Below are 23,543 nucleotides of genomic sequence, written 5' to 3' on the forward strand. Positions count from 1 at the left end.
TATTTGAGCTATTTGTAATATACCAACATTTTATGACTATATATTTCACAATTTTTAGACATTGTGAAAAAAATTGTTCTTGAAAAAACAAGTTTTTTGCTCCTCAAAGAAGTTTTTTTAATTTACTAACAGAGATTCAAATATATTTAGTTTGTCTACATCATATAGAAACAAAATGCCAAAGTATACAAACTTAAAGCTTATACTTAATAATTAATGTTTTAGTATTTTAACTTATTTAGCAATTACCAAGACATTTAACTGGTATATATTATGTAATTCTGCTTTAAGATTTCAAATTACCAAAAACATTTTTTGAAACTATGAGGAGTTTATTTGTGAACACTTATGCCTAATTTACTTGTTTTTGACAATCATGTTTGAACTGTTTATAAAACTTCTGTAAGGCATTGAACAAAACTCTCCATCATCTCAAGTTATTTCTCTGCTAACAATTTCTACAGCATGCAAATGATAGGCAAGAACTCTAAAGTTAAATACATGAGTATTTTTGCTGATCAGAAGACATGGCTGCTTTTCAAATACGTTGACTCTTGAACGGCATGGGTTTGAACTGCACAGTTCCACTTATATGTGGATTTTTTTTTTGCCTCTGCCACCCTGCCACAGGAAGACTAACCCCTCCTTTTTCTCCTCCTCAGCCTAGTCAATGTGAAGACAATGAGGATGAAGACCTTTATGATGATCCATTTCCATTTAATGAATGGTAAATATATATTTTCTCTTCCTTATAATTTTCTTAATAACATTTTATTTTGTCTAGCTTACTTCATTGTAAGAATACTGTATATAATACATTTAAGATACAAAATATATGTTAATTGACTGTTTATGTTATTTACAAGGCTTCCAGTCAATAGTAGGCTGTCAATTTAAATAACAGAGAGTGGCTCTCTAAAAATACATATATATATTTATTTGGGAATAAAACATTACAGTGGAAATACACATGCCGCAGTAAACTATGTGCATATTCAGGGAAGTCAAGGATGACAAAGGCTTTTAAAGGAAAAAATGAGGAGGATGACATAATTATTTTGAAATAATTATCCTTGATTACAAAGATCAATAATAAGGGTGATGCCAGTCTGAAGTCCGACAGGTAGTTGCTAGGCAGATGTCCTTTTAGAAGTATTTTTTTGCATAAGGTTGCAGTGGCCTTTGTTTAAGGTTGTGGCTTTTGCAGTCTTTTGTGATGATTTTTGTTATCAGGCACACAAATATGAGAACCCTCTCTTCATGACCTTCCCTGGCTCTATTTGTCCGGATTTTCTTAACCCATTTTGATTTTGACAACTTTCACAAGGCTATTAGTAGTTAAGTTTTTGGGAAACTGTCGCAGATGAGTGACAACTATCTGGGCCAGTGGCACAGGGTTAAAATAATTTACTATGACAGATGTAGGTAAAGAAAGGCAGATTTATTAGAGAAAGTATGAAAATATGTTGCAAAGAAGCAATGAACAGAATCAGCACGAGAGGAGCTGACTGAAAGGAAACAAAAGCTTGCTGGAGATTTTAAAGAATGGTTCTTGGGCTGCAGAGTGCTGCGAGCAGTACTCATAACCCCAAAGTTGCAGTGAGCTAACTTGCAAGTGTCTGGTGATAGCTGGGCTCAGGAAGATTATGAGTTATTTGCACAGGAGGGCTATGTGTCCTGGACCATGAATGTCATCAACATATTAATGACATTCTTTACAGAAATAGAAAAAACAATCCTTGTTTCTATTGAACTGCAAAAGACTTTTAATAACCAAAGCAATCTAGAGCAAAAACAGCAAATCTAAAGGTATCACACTACCTTACTTTAAAATATACTATAAAGATCTAGTGACCAAAATAGGTTGATATTGGCATAAAATCAGACACATAGACCAATGGAACAGAATAGAAAGACCAGAAACAAATCTGCACATCTATAGCCAACTGACTTTAAAAAAAATTTCCAAGGACACACATTGGGAATAGGACAGTCTCTTCGATAAATGGTACTAGGGAACTGGATAGCCACATGAACAAAAATGAAACTAGATCCTTATCTTTCACCATATTCAAAAATCAACTAAAAATGATTGAAAGACTTGAATGTAAGACTTGAAACTAAGGAATTAGTAGGAGAAAACATTGGAGAAATACTTCATGACATTAGACTGAGGCAAAGATTTTTTGTTACTTTTTTTATTTTTCAAAAGTACTATTTTCACAAGAGGATGGGTGTCAAGGAAAGATTTTTTGGCTATGACTCTACAAGCATAGGCAACAAAAGCAAAAATAGACAAATGGGATTAAATCAAACTAAAAACTCTACAGCAAAGGAAACATTCAGAGTGAACAGACAGCTACAGAATGGGAGAAATATTTGCAAACTATATATATGACAAGTGGTTAATATCCAGAATATATAAGAAACTGAAACAACTCAAGAGAAAAAATAAAAAGACCACCAAATAACCTGATTTAAAAATTGGCAAATGATCTGAAGAGACACTCCTCAAAATAAGACAAATAGCCAAAAGTTATATGAAGAAATGCTCAACAGCACTAATAATCAGGGAAAAGCAAGTCAAAACCAAAATGAGATATTTCCTTATTCCAGTTAGAATGGCTACTGTCAAAGAGACAAAAGATTAAAATGCTGGCAAGAATGTGGAGAAAAAAGAACATTTACTCATTGTTGATGGAGATTTAAATTAGTACAGCCATTATGGAAAATAGTATGGAGGTTTCTCAAAAAATTAAAAATAAAACTACCATATTACTCAGCAACCCTATTACTGGGTATATATCCAAAGGAAAGGAAATCAGTATGTCAAGGAGATGTCGGCACTCCTAGGTTTATTGCAGCAGTATTCTCAGTAGCCAAGATATAGAATCAACCAAAGTGCCCATCAACAGATGACTGAATAGAGAAAATTTAGTATATATACATAACGAAACACTATTCAGCCATAAAAATGAATGAAATCCCATCATTTGTGGCAACATGGGTGAACTTGGAGGACATTATGTTAAGTGAAATAAGCCAGACCCTAAAGACAAATACCATATGATCTCATTCATATGAGGTAGCTAAAAAGTTGATCTCTTAGAAGTAGAAAATAGAATAGTGGTTACCAGATATTCATCCAGAAAAATGAAAACTTACATTCACAGAAAAAAACTATGCATAAATATTCATATCAGCTTTATTTATAATAATGTAAAACTGGAAATAATCAAAATATTCTACAATAGGTTAACAGTTAAATAAACTGTGGTACATCCACACCATGAAACACTACTCAGGAATGAAATGAACAAACTATTGGTAGATACAACCCCAAAAGGCTATATACTGTATAATTCCATTTATATAACCTTCTTAAAATGACAAAACTAGGCCAGGCATGGTGGCTCATGCCTGTAACCCCAGCACTTTGGGAGGCCAAAGCGGGCAGATCATCTGAGGTCAGGAGTTTGAGACCTGCCTGGGCAACATCGTGAAACCCCATCTCTACTAAAAATATAAAAATTAGTCGGGCATGGTGGCACACACTTGTAATCCCAGCTACTTGGGAGGCTGAGGCAGGAGAATCACTTGAACCCGGGAGATGGAGGTTGGAGTCAGCTGAGATCGCACTCCAGCCTCGGTGACAGAGTGTGACTCTATCTCAAAAAAAAAAAAAGATAAGAGTATAGAGATGGAGAACAAATTAGTAGTTTACAGAGTTTAGGGATGGAGGGTGCAGGGGGTTGAGTGTGACTATAAGGGAGTAGTAGCACAAGGGAGATCTTTGCAGTGACTGAAGAGTTTTGCATATTAATTGCTAATCTACACCTGTGATCAAATGACATAGAACTATACAAAAACATTGTGCCAATGTCAGTTTACTGGTTTTGATATTGTACTATAGTTATGCAAAATGTAACATTTAGGGGAAACTGAGTAAAAGGCACACAGGATTTCTTTACTATCTCTGCAATTTCCTGTTAATTTATATTTCAAAATAAAAAGTTAATAAATAATCAAAGAAAGACAAAGTCAGAGGCTTATGTGTTTGGTGAGACAGTGTTCCCTGATGCAAGGAGCAATGGATTTGGAGTCAGATGAACCAAGACCCAGTTTCTGCTCCCCATGCCTTACCAGCTGTGTGCCCTTAAGAAAGTCAGTTAACCTTTTTGAGCTTCAGTTTTCTATTTCATAGAATGGTCCTTATCGATTTTCTAGCTACAAACATTAGCTATTTGTATACCACCTTATAAACAATTTTTGCCATATTCTCTATAGCCTGTTATATTGTGTACTTAATATTTCTTAGAGGCCAGGCACGATGACTCACGCCTGTAATCACAGCAGTTTCGGAGGTCAAGACGGGAGGATCATATGAGGTCAGGAGTTCGAGACCAGCCTAGCCAACATGGTAAAACCCCGTCTCTACTAAAAATAGAAAAATTAGCCAGGTGTGGTGGCACATGACTCTAATCCCAGCTACGTGGGAGGCTGAGGCAGGAGAATTGCTTGAACCTGGGAGGCGGAGCTTGCAGTGAGTCGAGATTGCCCACTGCACTCCAGCCTGGGCGACAGAGCAAGACTCTGTCTCATAAAGATATATATATATTCCTTATAGAGATCAACACAGTCCATTTACTTAAATCCATACCAAGCCCAAATCCTGAGTGATGTTATATATAAAACCACGACATCAAGGACTAGTGAATTTTTTCTCAAATGAGCATTAACGTAAATAACTATTAAAAACATATGCTTTTTTGTGCTGCCTAAATGATCACACATACTATCAATGGTATGGACCACATATTTCAGGAAACATTAGTTTAGCCCAAATACTTTACTTTTTAGATAGAGAACATGATGTCTCATAGACAGAAATAAACTTTCAGATTTGAAAGATCACTTAAAATATAAACTACAATTTCTCATCACATTTTAAATAAATTCCAAAGTCCTTAACGAGGGCCTATTGGATCTGATAGGATGTAGCTGTGCCTGCCTCTATGATTTCCGTTTCTTCTATCTGTTCTCTTGCTCCCACTACTCCAACCACACTTGACCTCTTGCTCTTCCCAGCATACCAAACACTTTTTTGCCTCAGGGGCTTTGCTCTTGCTGTTCTCTCTGCCTGGAAGATTCTAGATATCTATGTGGTTCAATTCCTAGTACATTCAGGTTCTGCCCTATGCCACTTCCTCAATGAGTCCTTACTTGACCCTCCTGCTCAAAATAGCCACACACACATATATCATGTTATTCTCTATTCCCCTTACTGTGCACTCAATCCTGTGTGCCTAACACACACACACACTCACACTCACACATACACATGTATATTATTCTGTTCCCCTTACTCTGCACTCAAACCTGTGTGTCACACACACACTCACACATACACGTATATCATATTATTCTCTATTCCCCTTATACTGCACTCAATCCTATGTGCCTTACACACACACACCCACACATACACGTATATCATATTATTCTCTATTCCCCTTATACTGCACTCAATCCTATGTGCCTTACACACACACACACACCCACAGATGTATATCAATATTCTCTATTCCTCTTACTCTACACTCAATCCTGTGTGCCTTTCACACGCACACCCGCACACACATATTATCATACACACACACACAAGTATATTATTCTCTATTCTCCTTTCCCTATTTTTCTTTATAGCACTTATCACCAACTGACACTATATGTTGTCCCTCTCCCTAATTAGAATGGCCGGACTTTGCTTTCTTCTCTTAAGCTCAGTGCCTAGAATTGTGCCAGTGCACAGACCCACATGCAGCCAATTCAGCCATCCTCCCTGCAGAATCTGAGGGGAGTGGTCATGTCGTCTCAGTTTGCAGCTTTAAAACAGCAGGAGCCACCAGCTAGCTCCTCCAGGCAGTCTAACCATTTTCCAGATGGTTCCCATCTTCAGAGGTCTTTCTGATGAGTTTCAAAACTTGTGCCCTTGCAGTTTCCACTCAGGCCTATTAGTTCTGCCCTGTGGGCCTACAGAGAACATGCCTTTCAGATACTTGAAGACAGCAATTATGACTCTCTCCAGCTGTTTACTGCTTTTCAAGTTAAACAGACCTCTCCTTCCATCATTGCTCAGGCATAATCCTCTGGGATGACAGAAAGAACATGTTATCTGGGGACAGGTAACCCAGATCTGAATCCAGACCTCACTCATAGTCACTGTGTAACCCTGAGCACATCACACCTGCCTAACAGGGCTCCTGTGAGGATTCCAGGGGGTCATATATATAAAGTGCTTAGCATAGTTGCTGCCTGACAGTGAAAGTTCAGTGGATGACATTGATGTTCATTGCTTTCCTGAAGAAAGTTCTGTCCAAATCCTAAAAGCAAAACAAATTTCCTGAACCCCATCAGGTCCGCTGCCTGCATGTAGAAAGAGGAGAGTAAAACCGATGCACACTGGACTCACCCAAAGGCGGAAAAGGACAAGGAACCCAAAAAGGAAGATCCAGTGGGCCCACAGGCAGCCCTCCTAATGGAGCCTGGGCAGTGCCCTCTTCTTTTTGTTGGAAAAACAGCATGAAATATTTTTTGCTTTGTTGTTTGAGGCTGGAGTCCAAGAAAGACCCAGAAATGGTTGATATGAAGGATTTGGAGCAGGAAAATAGGATACAAATTCAGAGTTAAGAGCTGGACAACGAGTTGGGTTATGAGGGCTTCCACCCCAGTCCGTTTCTTTCTTGCTCATGGTAGGACCCTAGACAATTCTTTTCCACTCTCAGCCTGCATTTTCTTAGCTGGGAAATGCCAATTCTAAGAGCTACTGGGATACAATTATATGCCACATGTGCGTTCACTCACTCAGTGCTTTTCAACACATGTTCACTGTATGCTCTGGGTGTACCAAAATGACAGCCTGTTCCTAACCTCAGGGGTCTCACTGTCTATTAAAAGTTTCCCTTAGGGTATCATTCTGAATGGGAGGAGGAACTAGAAAAACACTTAGTTCCAGTGTGTCATGATAAACACACAGAGAAAAAGAAAACAGCAGCTGTGAGAATGTAGGGGAGGGGGATAAATTCTGAAGGAGAGGGACAGGAAAGGCTTCTTGGAGAAGGGATCTGTTCTCTGGCCAGTGCAACAGCCTTGGAGAGGACTTGTACCTCCTCTGCTCGTGCCTTTCACCATCCCCAAGGATATCTAGAGCAGGACCCTGAACACCGGATAATCAGTTTATACTGCTGAGTGGCAGGCTGATGTTCTGGGTGGTGTAACATTCTGCCCTTCTCTAATTTTTTGTCTGTGAGTCAGCCTTGCCTAGGTCAATAAAATGCTGAGTGCACACCCAGCTTCCCCAGCACACTCAGAATGCTGCCAGATCATTTCTCACCCCTCTCAGGAGACATTAAACTCTCTGTCCTGGCCTTAGTTGTCCTTGTGGTCCTGGCTCAGACTGCCCCAGGTAAACAGAACCATGGAGAGAAGGGAAAAGGGAGTAAGGATGGGGTCCTAACCACAGAATCACTGGAAAATTGAACATGTGTAGAAGCAAGGAGAGCCCACAGGGATGGCTGAGATCTGATGAAAGGCTTATAATGAATATGCTCCCATAAGAAGGGCAGCCTGTCAGGCCTGACCATGGTGGTGGTTCTCATTAGGGAACCTGGAGAATATCTGCAGAGGCCAAGGTGTTTTATATGAAGTCCCTTCCATATGCAGAAGCAACCCCAACATCTCTAGTATCCTGAATGCCTCTGGCCCATATGTCAACAGTCTCATCCTGTGAGTCTCTCACTTCAACCCCACTTTCAGTTGATACTACCTCTTCTAATAATCAGTCTCATTACTTCACTTCTCCACTGTTGTTGGGCTTTGAGTGCTCCTTTAAAGCAGGCAGAAGAGGCAACTTGCTCTTGTCTTGGAATATATGGTGAAAAAGTTGTAAGTTGATGTTTGATATCTACAGGTTTATAAAAACAGGCTCACAGTATGGAGCTGGGGTTACAGCAGAAGATTTTGGCTTTCAAGTTGAACACGCTCAAAGCTCTCTAACAGTATAAACAGGCATCATGGCCAGGTGGTGAATAACTTTCTAATGGAAATGTTTTCCCCTTAGGCTTCCCAGGGGCTCTAAAGTTGATGATTTTTAATTCTGTGATTTCCTTTGGGTCGTTGCTGTTGGAAGTCACATCCTCTCTTGGAGCAGCTATTCAAGCTGAAAGCCTTTGCCAATCACTCAGTTGTTCTAGAAGCAAAAGAAGGTTATTCTGGGCTAACCCTGAGTTGGCTTGAGCATGCCTTATGTTCCAGCGAGGGCAAGTAGAATAGAGGGAGTTGCAGATGCAAGAGACATTTTGGAGAAAGAATCTACATATTGACTTATGAAATACTGGAAGAGAAAAGTGAGAGTCAATGTGACTGATTTTTTTCAGCCTGAACATTCTGGTAAAAGACAGAGAATTAGGAATTATCTCCCAGAAGAAGAGTTTGGGGAAAAGACAAGTGGAAAGAATCTGTAGTTTAGATTAAGATATAATGATCCCTCAAATGAATCCAATGTGCTGAGAAAACTGGGTTTGCAGTCTGCGTTGACTTAGAGTCACAGAAAATAAATCAGAGAAGGGCACAGTGTTAAACCCTCCCTGCACCCACCCCCCAACACACACACACACAAACACAACTTCAGCCTGCAGCTCAGAAATGTAAATTGGTCATCCATTGTTCAGGGTCTTGCTTTAAACAACCCCTGGGGCAAGCACCCCTAGAACAAACAATGCCTGGCACATAGTAGATGCTCAACAAATTGTGGTTAGATGAATAATGAATGGAGAGAGGATAAAAAAGATAATTGAAGGCTTAGTCCCACTCCCTGGCAAGCATCTAGATTTAGAGAGGAAGTAGAACCAGATTTAGTGAGACTGTGAAAAATGACAGAGAAGAAAGTATCATAAGCATAGGAATAAAATTCAATTAGAGCTGATTAGAGGAAGATAACTACTCCTAGTCATTAAACATGCACAAATTTATAACATTCCCATGAATGCCTTTAAGTGTCAAAATCAATGTTTCACTCTAACCATTATTACTATTACCAACATCCTTTCTTTAATTGTATTTATTTTTCAAATGTATTTATATATTCATGTGTTTGCTTATTTTGATAGATGGATGGATCAGAAGGTGCTATTATGGAACTGGCAGATGCAGGAAATCATGCAAAGAAATTGAGAGGAAGAAAGAAAAATGTGGGGAAAAACATATTTGCTGTGTCCCTAAAGAAAAGGATAAACTATCACACATTCACGACCAAAAAGAGACAAGTGAGCTATATATCTAGTTGCGACTCCTAATTCAGAATTTTAAGTCATTATAATGAGTCAATGAAATGGCTATCGGGGGCACCTGCATTTTCCTAGATCTCTGTCAAGTCTTCACAGGGCCCGTTAGAAAAACAAGCTCATTCCTGCTATCAATATATCTCTCTAGCCTGCTGTAGCCCAACAATGCTCTAAGCTGTCCCTGGATATGACTAATAATAGTGGTTTTCAAGGTAAGAAAATTTTATAGGATCTAGATCTTGAATTCCTAAACCTCTGTCCGGGTCCCTGAATGTAGAAGTTTACCAGGTTAACGCAAATTGGACCTTAGCTACAGATTCTTACCTAATGTCTCATCCTGGAGAGTTGCAATAAAACAGAGTAATCCAGAAAGTGTCCTTCTCTGTCTTTAGCTCAAAATTTAGCTCAAGGCTCTGCCATATGGTCTTACTCTTGGAACTTATCCCTTACCCCAAATTCCTAGGCACCTTTGGCTGTCCAAAGATTGGCATGCCCTCTGAGCAGGAGGAAACTATTCCTGCTCCCAAGCAAATGGAAGAGGAAAATAAAAGGCCCAAGATTTAGTGAGAACTTATTATGTGCAAGGTCTTGTCCTAAGCATTTTACTTCATTTTGTCCCAACAACAGCTCCAGGAGATAGGAACTAGTGTGCCCCTTCGCCAGAAGAGGAAACTAAGTCACAGAGAGTTTAAGTGACTTGCCCTAAATGGCACAGATAGCTAGTTCAGTAACAGGACTTTGAACCTGCAATGCCTGGCTTCAGGTACCGTGCTTCCCCATAGTGGAAAGAGATTGCTGCATTACGAAAAGCTTCACTTTACCCTTCCCACACAGAACCAACCTCTTTAATAGGGAAGGTGTGGTGAAGAAAGAGCTTTGTGTGCCCTCTTGTGGTTAAAATGTGTAATGAACCCAGTCCCAGCAGGTTCATCCAGGTTCAAATAAAGGTTATCCTAGGTTGCACTCGGCTAGCGAGAAATGGCTCCGGCTTTACAGAGAGTTGCAGCTCAGGGGCCAATGCCAATCACATCTGAAGTTGAACAGTATCCATACCTTCTGTTGACACAACGATCTGGAGGACACAGTCCAAAGGCAAGGTACAGCAATCATCACAGTAATGGCAGCCACTAACCCTTCAGCCCAGTTCCCAAAGTACTTCCTGTCAGTTCTCTCATTTCCCCCCACTAGAATACTATGAGGCATCTTCAAAATGGAAGCATTGGTCTGGACTATAAACTCCATATACCTTTCAACCTTTAAGGCCTTCTTCATTCTTTACATTATGGTGAAAATCATGCACTCTCTACCTATGACTGCAGAAGATGCCACCTTAGAGAGCAAAGACATGGAAGATGAAGAGAGAGACTGGGAAATAGGAAATGTATACCTCAATCTGGGTACTCAAACCATAACCCTAAAATACACCTTCTGTTCCTCCTTGCTTCCCCATACGCATATATCATGTTAGCCACGCAGACTTTCCAAGTCTGCTTCTATAGCACCTGCCCTTCATCTCTGCCTCTAGTCTTCCAGTTCAGCCATCATCTTTCCTTGTCCATTGCTGTGGAATGAATTTTGTGCCCCACCCCCCCAAAAATTGTGTGTTGAAGTCAGAACCTCCAGTGCTTCAAAATGTGACTGCATTTGGAGACAGAGTCTTGAAAGAGGTGACTGAGTTTAAATGAAGTCATTAGGACAGATACAAATTCGATCGGACTACTGTTCTTATAAGAAGAAATTAGGACAGAATTATTTTACAAATAATTATGACCCACAGCAAGAAGACCACGTTAAGATCCAAGGAGATCATGACCATCTACAAGTCAAAGAGAGAAGACTCAGAAGAAATCAACCCTACTGACACCTTGATCTCAGATTTTTAGCCTCCTGAATTGTGAGAAAATAAATTTGTATTGTTTAAGCCACCTGATCTGCGACACTTTGTTGTGACAGCCCTGGCAGACTGATACAGACATACCATAACATCAGCATCCTAGTCATCTCTTTTTCTCTCATTAGGACTTCGACTCACTCCAGGCTTTTCATACAGTTGCCAGAAGAACATCTCTACAATCCAAATATGAAACTTTTTTCTTTCCAAATTGTCCAAAAGCTACATAACCCTTTCAGGAATCAATTCTCAACTCCCTTTATGATAATCCCTGCCTGCCTCAGTAGTTTTATATCCAGTTCCTCCTCCCTTTCAATTCCCACCGTGGACCTCCCAAAACAACCTTATTCTTGGAAATTAATTAATCTAATTTCTTGCCCTTCTTTTTATAGACTGCCCCTTCTGCCTGAAAGTTTCTTATTGCAAACCAGATTACTCCATCCCCTTCTGAAAAGAGGTTAAGTGGGGAAGAAAAGTCATCCTAAGAATATTTATTAATTTAAAAACTCATTGGTGAAATAAGTCTCCACTCAAACATCCCAATTTCTTAGAATCTGTGCCTCTCCCAAACCCAGCAGGTCAATGTCTTCCATGGACTAATTGTGAACATGCAAAAATGCATGGCAAATTGTCGTCAAGTGACATTTAAACCTTCTTGAATATGCGGGATTTTCTCTAGATATTGATAGTCATGTTATAAAATTAAACTGTTAATATGCAAAGTCATTAATAAATGAGGATCAGTAAGAATTACATTAGTTGAAAATTAAAAAGAAAATTGACAAGAATGATGATATAAGAAGTAATTTTTTAAAACACTTCTTAACTAACAAAGCGTAAGGAAAAGCCCAGAGAAAAACTGATTGGAACCTAGAATATTTTTGCAAATAACTGTGATTTTGCTACATTTTAAAAAGGCAAACCTACAGTAAAGTATTTTTTTTATTTTCATGCTTCTAACTAGAATTATTTTCATTTTGGCCAAAAAACTCCACTTATAAAGAATATTATAAGTGATAACTGTTTGGTACATCTAAATGAATATTGACTATAAAAAACAATTATAATAATAAATAATATCTTAGGGCATTATAATATTTATATAATTAATATGCATAACAATAATAGCATAAAAGGTTGAACAGAGGTTAATGGACAACTAATATTTTGTTGATTTCCAGACACATTGTATAAAATATTGTAGAGCTTCCAATGATATTATCTTCATCCAGAGAGGGTCCACCCTTTCCCTTGGTAGGCTGATATAGTAGAATTTAGTTGCTACAATTCAATCATAAAGCAAACTGATTCAAAGTTAGCTTCTAGTTTTGATAAGGCATTGTCTACCTCTTGATCTTTTGTCGGTGTAGCCATGCCTTCTACATATAGAACCAGCTTATACTCATTTCAGAAGCATTAACTCTCTAGCATTGAATATCTCATAAAACTCATACTTATCCAGTAAGTTTTTAGATGCAATATGTGGTTGTACTTAAGAGCCTATTCTTTGGAGCCAGAAACTTTTTTTTATTATTACACTTTAAGTTACAGGGTACATGTACACAACGTGCAGTTTTGTTACATATGTATACATGTGCCATGTTGCTGTGCTGCACCCATTAACTGGTCATTTACATTAGGTATTTCTCCTAATGCTATCCCTCCCCCCTCCCCCCACCCCATGACAGGCCCCGGTGTGTGATATTCCCTACCCTGTGTCCAAGTGTTCTTATTGTTCAATTCCCACCTATGAGTGAGAACATGCAATGTTTGGTTTTCTGTCCTTGCAATAGTTTGCTGAGAATGATGGTTTCCACCTTCATCTATGTCCCTATAAAGGACATGAACTCATCCTTTTTTATGGCTGCATAGTATTCCACGGTGTATATGTACCACATTTTCTTAATACAGTCTATCATTGATGGACATTTGGGTTGGTTCCAAGTCTCTGCTGTTGTGAATAGTGCCGCAATAAACATAGGTGTGCATGTGTCTTTATAGTAGCATGATTTATAATCCTTTGGGTATATACCCAGTAATGGGATGGCTGGGTCAAATGGTATTTCTAGTTCTAGATCCCTGAAGAATCGCCACACTACCTTCTACAATGGTTGAACTAGTTTACAGTCCCCCCAACAGTGTAAAAGTGTTCCTGTTTCTCCACATCCTCTCCAGCACCTGTTGTTTCCTGACTTTTTAATGATTACCATTCTAACTGGTGTGAGATGGTATCTCATTGTGGTTTTGATTTGTATTTCTCTGATGGCCAGTGATGATGAGCCTTTTTTCATGTGTTTTTTGGCTGCATAAATGTCTTCTTTTGAGAAGTGTCTGTTCATATCCTTCGCCCACTTTTTGATGGGGTTGTTTGATTTTTTCTTGTACATTTGTTTAAGTTCTTTGTAGATTCTAGATATTAGCCCTTTGTCAGATGGGTAGATTGCAAAAATTTTCTCCCATTCTGTAGGTTGCCTGTTCACTCTGATGGTAGTTTCTTTTGCTGTGCAGAAGCTCTTAGTTTAATTAGATCCCATTTGTCTATTTTGGCTTCTGTTGCCATTGTTTTCGGTGTTTTAGCCATGAAGTCCTTGCCCATGACTATGTCCTGAATGGTATTGCCTAGGTTTTCTTCTATGGTTTTTATGGTTTTAGATCTAACATTTAAGTCTTTAATCCATCTTGAATTAATTTTTGTATAAGGTGTAAGGAAGGGATCCAGTTTCAGCTTTCTACATATGGCTAGCCAGTTTTCCCGGCACCATTTATTAAATAGGGAATCCTTTCCCCATTTCCTGTTTTTGTCAGGTTTGTCAAAGATCAGATGGTTGCAGATGTGTGGTATTATTTCTGAGGGCTCTGTTCTGTTCCATTGGTCTATGTCTCTGTTTTGGTACCAGTACCATGCTGTTTTGGTTACTGTAGCCTTGTAGTATAGTTTGAAGTCAAGTAGCATGATGCCTCCAGTTTTGTTCTTTTGGCTTAGGATTGTCTTGGCAATGTGGGCTCTTTTTTGGTTCCATATGAACTTTAAAGTACTTTTTTCCAATTCTGTGAAGACAGTCATTGGTAGCTTGATGGGGATGGCACTGGATCTATAAATTACCTTGGGCAGTATGGCCATTTTCACGATATTGATTCTTCCTGTCCATGAGCATGGAATGTTCTTCCATTTGTTTGTGTCCTCTTTTATTTTTTGAGCAGTGGTTTGTAGTTCTGCTTGAAGAGGTCCTTCACATCCCTTGTAAGTTGGATTCCTAGGTATTTTATTCTCTTTGAAGCAATTGTGATTGGGAGTTCACTTATGATTTGGCTCTCTGTCTGTTATTGGTGTATAAGAATGCTTGTGATTTTTGCACATTGATTTTGTATCCTGAGACTTTGCTGAAGTTGCTTATCAGCTTAAGGGGATTTTGGGCTGAGATGATGGTGTTTTCCAAATATACAATCATGTCATCTGCAAACAGGGACAATTTGACTTCCTCTTTTCCTAATTGAATATCCTTTATTTCTTTCTCCTGCCTGATTGACCTGGCCAGAACTTCCAACACTATGTTGAATAGGAGTGGTGAGAGAGGGCATCCCTGTCTTGTGCCAGTTTTCAAAGGGAATGCTTCCAGTTTTTGCCCATTCAGTATGATATTGGCTGTGGGTTTGTCATAAATGGCTCTTATTATACATCCCATCAATACCTAGTTTATTGACAGTTTTTAGCATGAAGGGCTGTTGAATTTTGTCAAAGGCCTTTTCTGCATCTATTCAGATAATCATGTGTTTTTTTGTCTTTGACTCTGTTTATGTGATGGATTACGTTTATTGATTTGCATATGTTGAACCAGCCTTGCATCCTAGGGATGAAGCCAACTTGATCGTGGTGGATAAGCTTTTTGATGTGCTGCTGGATTTGGTTTGCCAGTATTTTATTGAGGATTTTGGCATCAATGTTCATCAAGGATATTGGTCTAAAATTCTCTTTTTTTCTTGTTGTGTTTCTGCCAGGCTTTGGTATTAGGATGATGCTGGCCTCATAAAATGAGTTAGGGATGATTCCTTCTTTTTCTTTTTATTGGAATAGTTTCAGAAGGAATGGTACCAGCTCCTCTTTGTACCTCTGGTAGAATTCAGCTGTGAATCCATCTGGTCCTGGACTTTTTTTGGTTGGTAGGCTATTAATTATTCCTGAATTTCAGAGCCTGTTATTGGTCTACTCAGGGATTCAACTTCTTCCTGGTTTAGTCTTGGGATGGTGTATGTGTCCAGGGATTTATCCATTTCTTCTAGATTTTACAGTTTATTTGCATAGAGGGGTTTATAGTATTCTCTGATGGTAGTTTGTATTTCTGTGGGATCGGTGGTGATATCCTCTTTATCATTTTTTATTGTGTCTATTTGATTCTTCTCTCTTTTCTTCTTTATTAGTCTTGCTAGCGGTCTATCAATTTTGTTGATCTTTTCAAAAAACCAGCTCCAGGATTCATTGATTTTTTTGAAGAGTTTTTGTGCCTCTATCTCCTTCAGTTCTGCTCTGATCTTAGTTATTTCTTGCCTTCGGCTAGCCTTTGAATATGTTGGCTCTTGCTTCTCTAGTTCTTTTAATTGTGATATTAGGGTGTCGATTTTAGATCTTTCCTGCTTCCCCTTGTGGGCATCTAGTGCTACAAATTTCCCTCTACACACTGCTTTAAATGTGTCCCAGAGATTCTGGTATATTATGTTTTTGTTTGCATTGGTTTCAAAGAACATCTTTATTTCTGCCTTCATTTCATTATTTACCCAGTAGTCATTCAGGAGCAAGTTGCTCAGTTTCTATGTAGTTGTGCAGTTTTGAGTGAGTTTCTTAATCCTGAGTTCTAATTTGATTGCACTGTGGTCTGAGAGACAGTTTGTTATGATTTCTGTTTTTTTACATTTGCTGAGGAGTGCCTTACTTCCAACTATGTGGTCAATTTTGGAACAAGTGCGATGTGGTGCTGAGAAGAATGTATATTCTGTTGACTTGGGGTGGAGAGTTCTGTAGATGTCTATTAGGTCTGCTTGGTACAGAGCTGGGTTCAAGTCCTGGATATCCTTGTTAACTTTCTGTTTTGTTGATCTGTCTAATGTTGACAGTGGGGTGTTAAAGTCTCCCATTATTATTGTGTGGGAGTCTAAGTCTCTTTGTAGGTCTCTAAGAACTTGCTTTATGAATCTGGGTGCTCCTGTATTGGGTGCATATATATTTAGGATAGTTAGCCCTTCTTGTTGAATTGATCCCTTTACCATTATGTAATGGCCTTCTTTGTCTCTTTTGATATTTGTTGGTTTAAAGTCTGTTTTATCAGAAACTAGGATTGCAAACCCTGCTTTTTTTTGTTTTCCGTTTGCTTGGTAGATCTTCCTCCATCCCTTTGAGTCTATCTGTGTCTCTGCACGTGAGATGGGTCTCCTGAATACAGCACGCTGATGGGTCTTGACTCTTTATCCAACTTGCCAGTCTGTGTCTTTTAATTGGAGCATTTAGCCCATTTACATTTAAGGTTAATATTGTTATGTGTGAATTTGATCCTGTTGTTATGATGTTAGCTGGTTATTTTGCTCATTAGTTGATGCAGTTTCTTCCTAGTATCGATGGTTTTTACAATTTGGCATGTTTTTGCAGTGGCTGGTACTGGTTGTTCCTTTCCATGTTTATTGCTTCCTTCAGGAGCTCCTGTGAGGCAGGCCTGGTGGTGACAAAATCACTCAGCATTTGCTTGTCTGTAAAGGATTTTATTTCTCCTTCACTTATGCTTTAGTTTGGCTGGATATGAAATTCTGGTTGAAAATTCTTTCTTTAAGAATGTTGAATATTGGCCCCACTCTCTTCTGGCTTGTAGAGTTTCTGCTGAGAGATCAGCTGTTAGTCTGATGGGCTTCCCTTTGTGGGTAACCCGACCTTTCTCTCTGGCTGCCCTTAACATTTTTTCCTGCATTTCAGCCTTGGTGAATCTGACAATTATGTGTCTTGGGGTTGCTCTTCTCGAAGAGTGTCTTTCCGGTGTTCTCTGCATTTCCTGAATTTGAATGTTGGCCTGCCTTGCTAGGTTGGGGCAGTTCTCCTGGATAATATCCAGCAGAGTGTTTTCCAACTTGGTTCCATTCTCCCTGTAACTTTCAGGTACACCAGTGAAATGTAGATTTGGTCTTTTCACATAGTCTCATATTTCTTGGAGGCTTTGTTCGTTTCTTTTTACTCTTTTTTCTCTAAACTTCTCTTCTCGCTTCATTTCATTCATTTGATCTTCAATCACTGATACCCTTTCTTCCACTTGATCGAATTGGCTACTGAAGCTTGTGCATGCGTCACGTAGTTCTCGTGCCATGGTTTTCAGCTCCATCAGATCATTTAAGGTCTTCTCTATACTGTTTATTCTAGTTAGCCATTCATCTAATCTTTTTTCAAGGTTTTTAGCTTCCTTAAGATGGGTTCGAACATCCTCCTTTAGCTCGGAGAAGTTTGTTATTACCAATCTTCTGAAGCCTACTTCTATCAGCTCATCAGTCATTCTCCATCCAGCTTTGTTCCATTGCTGGTGAGGAGCTGCAATCCTTTGGAAGAGAAGAGGCGCTCTGGTTTTTAGAATTTTCAGTTTTTCTGCTCTGGTTTCTCCCCATCATTGTGGTTTTATCTACCTTTGGTCTTTGATGATGGTGACGTACAGATGGGGTTTTGGTATGCATGTCCTTTTGTTGATGTTGATACTATTCCTTTCCGTTTGTTAGTTTTCCTTCTTAACAGTCAGGACCCTCAGCTGCAGGTCTGTTAGAGTTTGCTGGAGGTCCACTCCAGACCCTGTTTGCCTAGGTGTCACCAGTGGTGGCTGCAAAACAGCAAATATTGCAGAACAGCAAACGTTGCTGCCTGATCCTTCCTCTGGAAGCTTCGTCTCAGAGGGGCACCCGGCTGTATGAGGTGTCAGTCGGCCCCTACTGGTAGGTGTCTCCCAGTTAGGCTACTCGGGGGTCAGGGACACACTTGAGGGGGCAGTCTGTCTGTTCTCAGATCTCAAACTCGATGCTGGGAGAACCACTGCTCTCTTCAAAACTGAGTTGGAAATGCAGAAATCACCTGTCTTCTGTGTCGCTCACACTGGGACCTGTAGACTGGATCTGTTCCTATTTGATCATCATGGAATGATCCCCTGGAGCCAGAAAAGTTTATTCCACTTCCCTGTTCTGCCACTCTTTTGGGGAGGACATCAAAACTTTCTGAGCATCAGATTCCTTTTCCATAAAGTGGATATTATTTAATACTACCTTTCTCAGTATATTGTAAGGTCAAAATAAGATAAAGTACACAACCATTTACTATGTTACCATGTTCTTTACATGTAACATATGTAAATAAGTTATTGTGTTTATAAGAATAAGAATAGGAGATACAATGAAATGTGGGGACTTAAGGGGAAGAGTGAGAAGGGGGCGAGGGATAAAACACTACAAATAAAGTACAGGGTATACTGCTCGGGTGGCTGGTGCACCAAAATCTCACAAAACACCACTAAAGAACTTACTCATGGAACCAAATACCACCTGTACTCCAATAACCTATGGAAAAAAAAAAGAATAAGAATAGGAGATACCAGCCTTCATACCCTACCAAAAAAGATCTCTCTCTCTTTCTCTCTTTCTCTATCTATCCAGCTAGCTATCCTCAAAATCAAAACAGCCCTGAGACAGCTCAAGGGCCCATTAAACATTTAAAAATCTGTAGCAACACAGTGGACCAAAAACAAACAAACAAAATGGAGAACATCCACAAAGAAAGGATTGCTAGTGAGGTCAGCATATCTGAGACTATAGGAGACAGTTAGAAACAAAGAAGAAAGGCAGAGTGTCAGTTATGCAGTGTAAACCACTATGGTCCCAGTGGCCTACTCTGAAGAAGACAACAGCATCATTTGCCACAAAGGTTAACAATAGTCATTCCCACTGGGGAACCTTTGAGAGATGCAGCTGCACAACCCTCCTTCCTCCAAGAAGCACTACTGCTGAACTGCTTTGGGAAAGAAGCCACCATCACTGTCAATCCCCATGTGCACTAATCCCCATGAGAATTTGGGCTCTGGGGCTGCACCTCACACACACACATCTCAGACCCTGAAATCATCACTATAGCAAGCTAGTTTGTACTCCAGGCCCCGAAGCTATGTTCTCTCCAGACACCAGTTCAACTGCCATAGACAGCTAGCTCCACTGCAAGCCCAGAGCCCCTGTAACCCTGCCTATGCTCTCCTTCTTGATCCCCTGACTGCTTCACAAGTATCACACTTTAGATTGTTACTAATGAGGCAGTTGGGGTGCCTGTGCCCTTGGTGCCAGTGTCATTACCACTCCAGATCCCAGAGCCATAGTCTCTCCAAACATACCTGTGCTGCAGGCCTCAGCAACATGGCCACTCCATGGGTGCCACTCATCAAACACCAGTGCCACCAGCACTACAAGCAAGCCACAAGACAGGTTCAGTGTCAAGAGGGATTCATGCAGCCACAATTTCCCTAGCGGGAGAAAAAGAGATACAGAAGACCTTAGCAGCCAACACCATCAAAGACCTCAGCAATCCTCACTGCCACTGCTGGCATCCACAGTATTGGTCACTAAGGATTCCTGCAATTTTAATCAACACCAGCATCAGTTGACAGAGCTGCACAGACATTATACCACTGTACCTTCAGTGATGCCAGAACAGTTACCCTTCACTCAGAAAGCACCCTTGCACTCCCCTCCCTCCATAGAGGCAGGTCTTTCCACACCAGAATTAACCTGTAAAGTCTGAAAAAGGTGATTGCTCCATCAAATATGATGATATTAACATAAGAAACATTTAAAAACCAAGGACACATAATAACAAAGAATATGATAATTTCCTAGTACCTGGTCCCCTAAAGAAATGGAAATATACAAACTGTGTGACAAAGAAATCAAAATAATTGTTTTAAAGAAGCTAAGCAGGCTGGGTGCGGTAGCTCATGCCTGTAATCCCAGCACTTTGGGAGGCCGAGGTGGGTGGATCACCTGAGGTCAGGAGTTCAAGACCAGCCTGGCCAACATGGTGAAGCCCTGTCTCTACTAAAAATACAAAACTCAGCTGGGTGTGGTGGCAGACACCTGTAGTCCCAGCTACTTGGCAGGCTGAGGCAGGAGAATTTCTTGAACCTGGAAGGTGGAGTTTGCAGTGAGCTGAGATCGTACCACTGTACTCCAGCTTGGGTGATAAAGTGAGACTGTCTCAAAAAAAAAATAAAAATAATAAGTAAATAAATAAAGCAGCTCAGCAGACTCCAAGAAAATACAGAGAAGCAATTCAGTAAAATCAGGAAAACAATAAATGACAAAATGAGAAATTTAATAGAAATTGAAATTGTTTTAAATTATAGAGCTGAAATACACAATGAATAAATAAAAAATACAATAAAAAGCATCAACAGCAAAATTGATCAAACAGAAGAAAGAATCTGTAAAATTGAAAACATACAGTCAAATGAGAAAAATAAACAAAAAGAATGAAAAAACATTACAGGATTTATGAGACAGCACCAAAAGAACAAATATTCAAATTATAAGTTTCTGAAGAAGAAGAGAGAGCCAAAGGAGTAGAAAGCTTATTTAAAGAAATAAGAGTAAAAAACTTCCCAAATCTGGAAAAAGATATAAATATACAGATACAAGAAGGTTAAAGGTTTTGAATCAGATTAAACTCAAAAAGACTACATGAAGACATACACTCAACAGTCAAAAATCAAAGACAAAGGGAGCATCTTGAAAGCAGCGAGAGAAAATATGCAAATAACTTGTAATGGAGTTCCAATAAGGCTAGCAACAGATTTCTCAGTAAAAACCTTACAGACCAGGAGAATGCAATGATATATCCAAAGTGTTGAAGAAAAAAAACTGCCAACCAAGAATACTTTATGCAGGAAATCTGCACTCCACAAATGAAGGAAAGATAAAGCTTTCCTAGACACAGAAAAGCTGAGGGAGTTTATCAGCACAAGGCTTGCCTTACAAGAAAGACTAAAGGGAATTATTTCTAATGAAATAAAAGGATGCTACTTAGTAAGACTATAATGTTTGAAAGTACAAAACCCACTGGTAAATATAGATCATGATGGCTGACTAGAAGCATCCAGAACTTACCACTTTTACAGAGAAGGACTAAACAGTATTAGGTTGGTGCAAAAGTAAATGTGGTTTGGGGCGTTAAAGGTAATGATAGAAAACTTCAATTACCTATGAACCAACATAATAGATAACCACATATCAAATAAAGTGTCTAGAAGAGAATGCTGGAATCCAGCAGAGAAGCAACAGGGACTCTGAGGCACAAAAGCTCAAGATGGCAGCATAGAGAAGGAATCAAGGCAGCCAGCTGAATCAGCTCAGAGCCAGGAGGAACTCCGCATTGTTGGGAAAAAGGTAACTGAAAGATACGTATCAGTCCACACTCCCACCAGAAATGCCTGAAGTTCTAACTGCAGAAAAGCTCCTAGACCCTCACATGTCCTGAGCCTAGTCTGGAAAGCTGCCTGGAATCCACGTGACTGCATTTGTTCCAGGGAGAGAATTTGCACAGGGGCCCATCCCTGGAATGCAGGCTGCTATAGTATGGTGCCATTTTGAGAGCAAATACAACAACAGACTATATCCCGCCATGGAGACCAATAGCTCCTGCATCTCCACAACCCTGAGACCTCACCAATATCCACCCACACCCACTCAAAGGGCTGCAGCATCATAGTGCTGGCTAAGCCCAGTGGCACAACCACACTGCCAGCATCTGAGACCACACAACATCCCACACCCCAGGGAACAGATGGTCCAACACAACCGGTATACTGGCTCAAGGACATAGAGAACCAAAGTGTGAGCTCCCCAGAGCCTGAGAGCAACCTTCCTGGACCTGCTGCCACCAACAGCAACCTCACTCCTCTCCAGCAGTGGGGCCATGAAACACCATAAATACCACCCAAGGGCCCAGAGACTTACCTGCCCAACCCACTACAGAAACCACCAGCTCCCAACTACTCCACTCAGGAAATGAAACCAGTCCACTCACCCAACTAGAGATATTGCCAGCACTTGGGTGCCCACCTGGGGGCCCAAGGAGGAACTGCCCAGCCAGCATTTACACTCTGCTTGAGTAACCAAGGACCATCCCACTCAGGGCATTACACTGCCACTGCTGGTGCCTGTGCATCCGACCTGGGGCCCAAAGACTAGCCCACATGAAGCACATAACCATCACCACCAGTGCCTGCACATTCAACATAGGGGCCTATGAACCAGCCCATCCAGCACATCTGAAACTGCCAAAGCCTCACCACAGCTTCCACAAATAACTACACCCTAAGATGCTAAGGAGTTCGCAGACATCACTAATGTTAATGACAGCCAAAGTAATCATATGGAGACCACACTACAGTGTCCACCCAAAATCAAAGCCAAAGCACCCTACCCAACTTACATTATAGATACTTCTACAGGGAAATGTTTTTCCTTACAAAAGTTACTCCATAAAATTGAAAGAAATGTCAGTTACACCATATGTACAGATATCAATGTAAGGACACAAGAAACATGAAAAAGCAAGCAAAGACAACACCTCCAAATGAACAAAATAATTCTTCAGTAATAGACCTCCCCATAAAAAGAAATCTATGAAATGCCTGGAAAGTAATTCAAAATAATGATTGTAAGGAAACACAGAGATACAAGAGAACACAGATAAACATTACAAATCAAGAAAACAATTCACTATCTGAATGAGAAATTCAACAAAGAGATGCATATCATAAAAAGAAGAAGCAAACAGAAATCCTGGAACTGAATAACACAATGAATAAAAGCAAAAATACAATGTAGAGCTTCTAATATAAACTAGATTAAGCAGAAGAATCTTTCTGAACTTGAAAACTGAGCTTTTGAAGTAACCCAGTGAGATGAAAAAAAAAGGAAGAAAAGAAAAAAAGAAAGAAGACATATAAGATACCAAAGCAAAAAAAAAAAAATTCAAATTTTAAAAGTTCCAGAAGAGAGGAAAAGTCAAAGAAAATGTATTTAATGAAATATTAGCTGAAAACTTCCCAATTCTTGCCAGAGATATAGACATCCAGACACAGGAAACTCAACGATCCCTAAACACAGTCAATCCATAAATGTCCTCTCTGAGGCAGATTATAGTCAAATTGTCAAAAGTTAAAGACAAAGAATTCTAAACATAGGAAAAGTGTCAAGTCACATGTAAGAAAATCCTCATTAGCATAACAGCAGATGGCACCAGAGTGGCTCATGCCTGT

General features: G+C 39.7%; 1 protein-coding gene across 1 annotated transcript; it reads left to right on the forward strand.

Moving 5' to 3' along the window:
- The first annotated feature begins 7,371 nt into the window (after positions 1–7,371).
- On the forward strand, positions 7,372–9,340 carry DEFB115 (defensin beta 115). The gene is made up of 2 exons (NM_001037730.1): positions 7,372–7,465; positions 9,168–9,340. Exons 1-2 carry the CDS (start codon positions 7,372–7,374, stop codon positions 9,338–9,340), a joined length of 267 nt encoding a protein of 88 aa, NP_001032819.1.
- Positions 9,341–23,543: the final 14,203 nt, after the last annotated feature.

This window comes from Homo sapiens, chromosome 20 (assembly GCF_000001405.40).
Source record: "Homo sapiens chromosome 20, GRCh38.p14 Primary Assembly".
Classification (NCBI taxonomy): domain Eukaryota; kingdom Metazoa; phylum Chordata; class Mammalia; order Primates; family Hominidae; genus Homo; species Homo sapiens.

Bases quoted from the DNA above. Each gene is read 5' to 3' on its own strand.
- DEFB115 (NM_001037730.1), top strand. From the start codon at position 7,372: ATGCTGCCAGATCATTTCTCACCCCTCTCAGGAGACATTAAACTCTCT. The intron at 7,466-9,167 runs GTAAACAGAACC...TTATTTTGATAG, and splicing joins CCTGGCTCAGACTGCCCCAG to ATGGATGGATCAGAAGGTGC.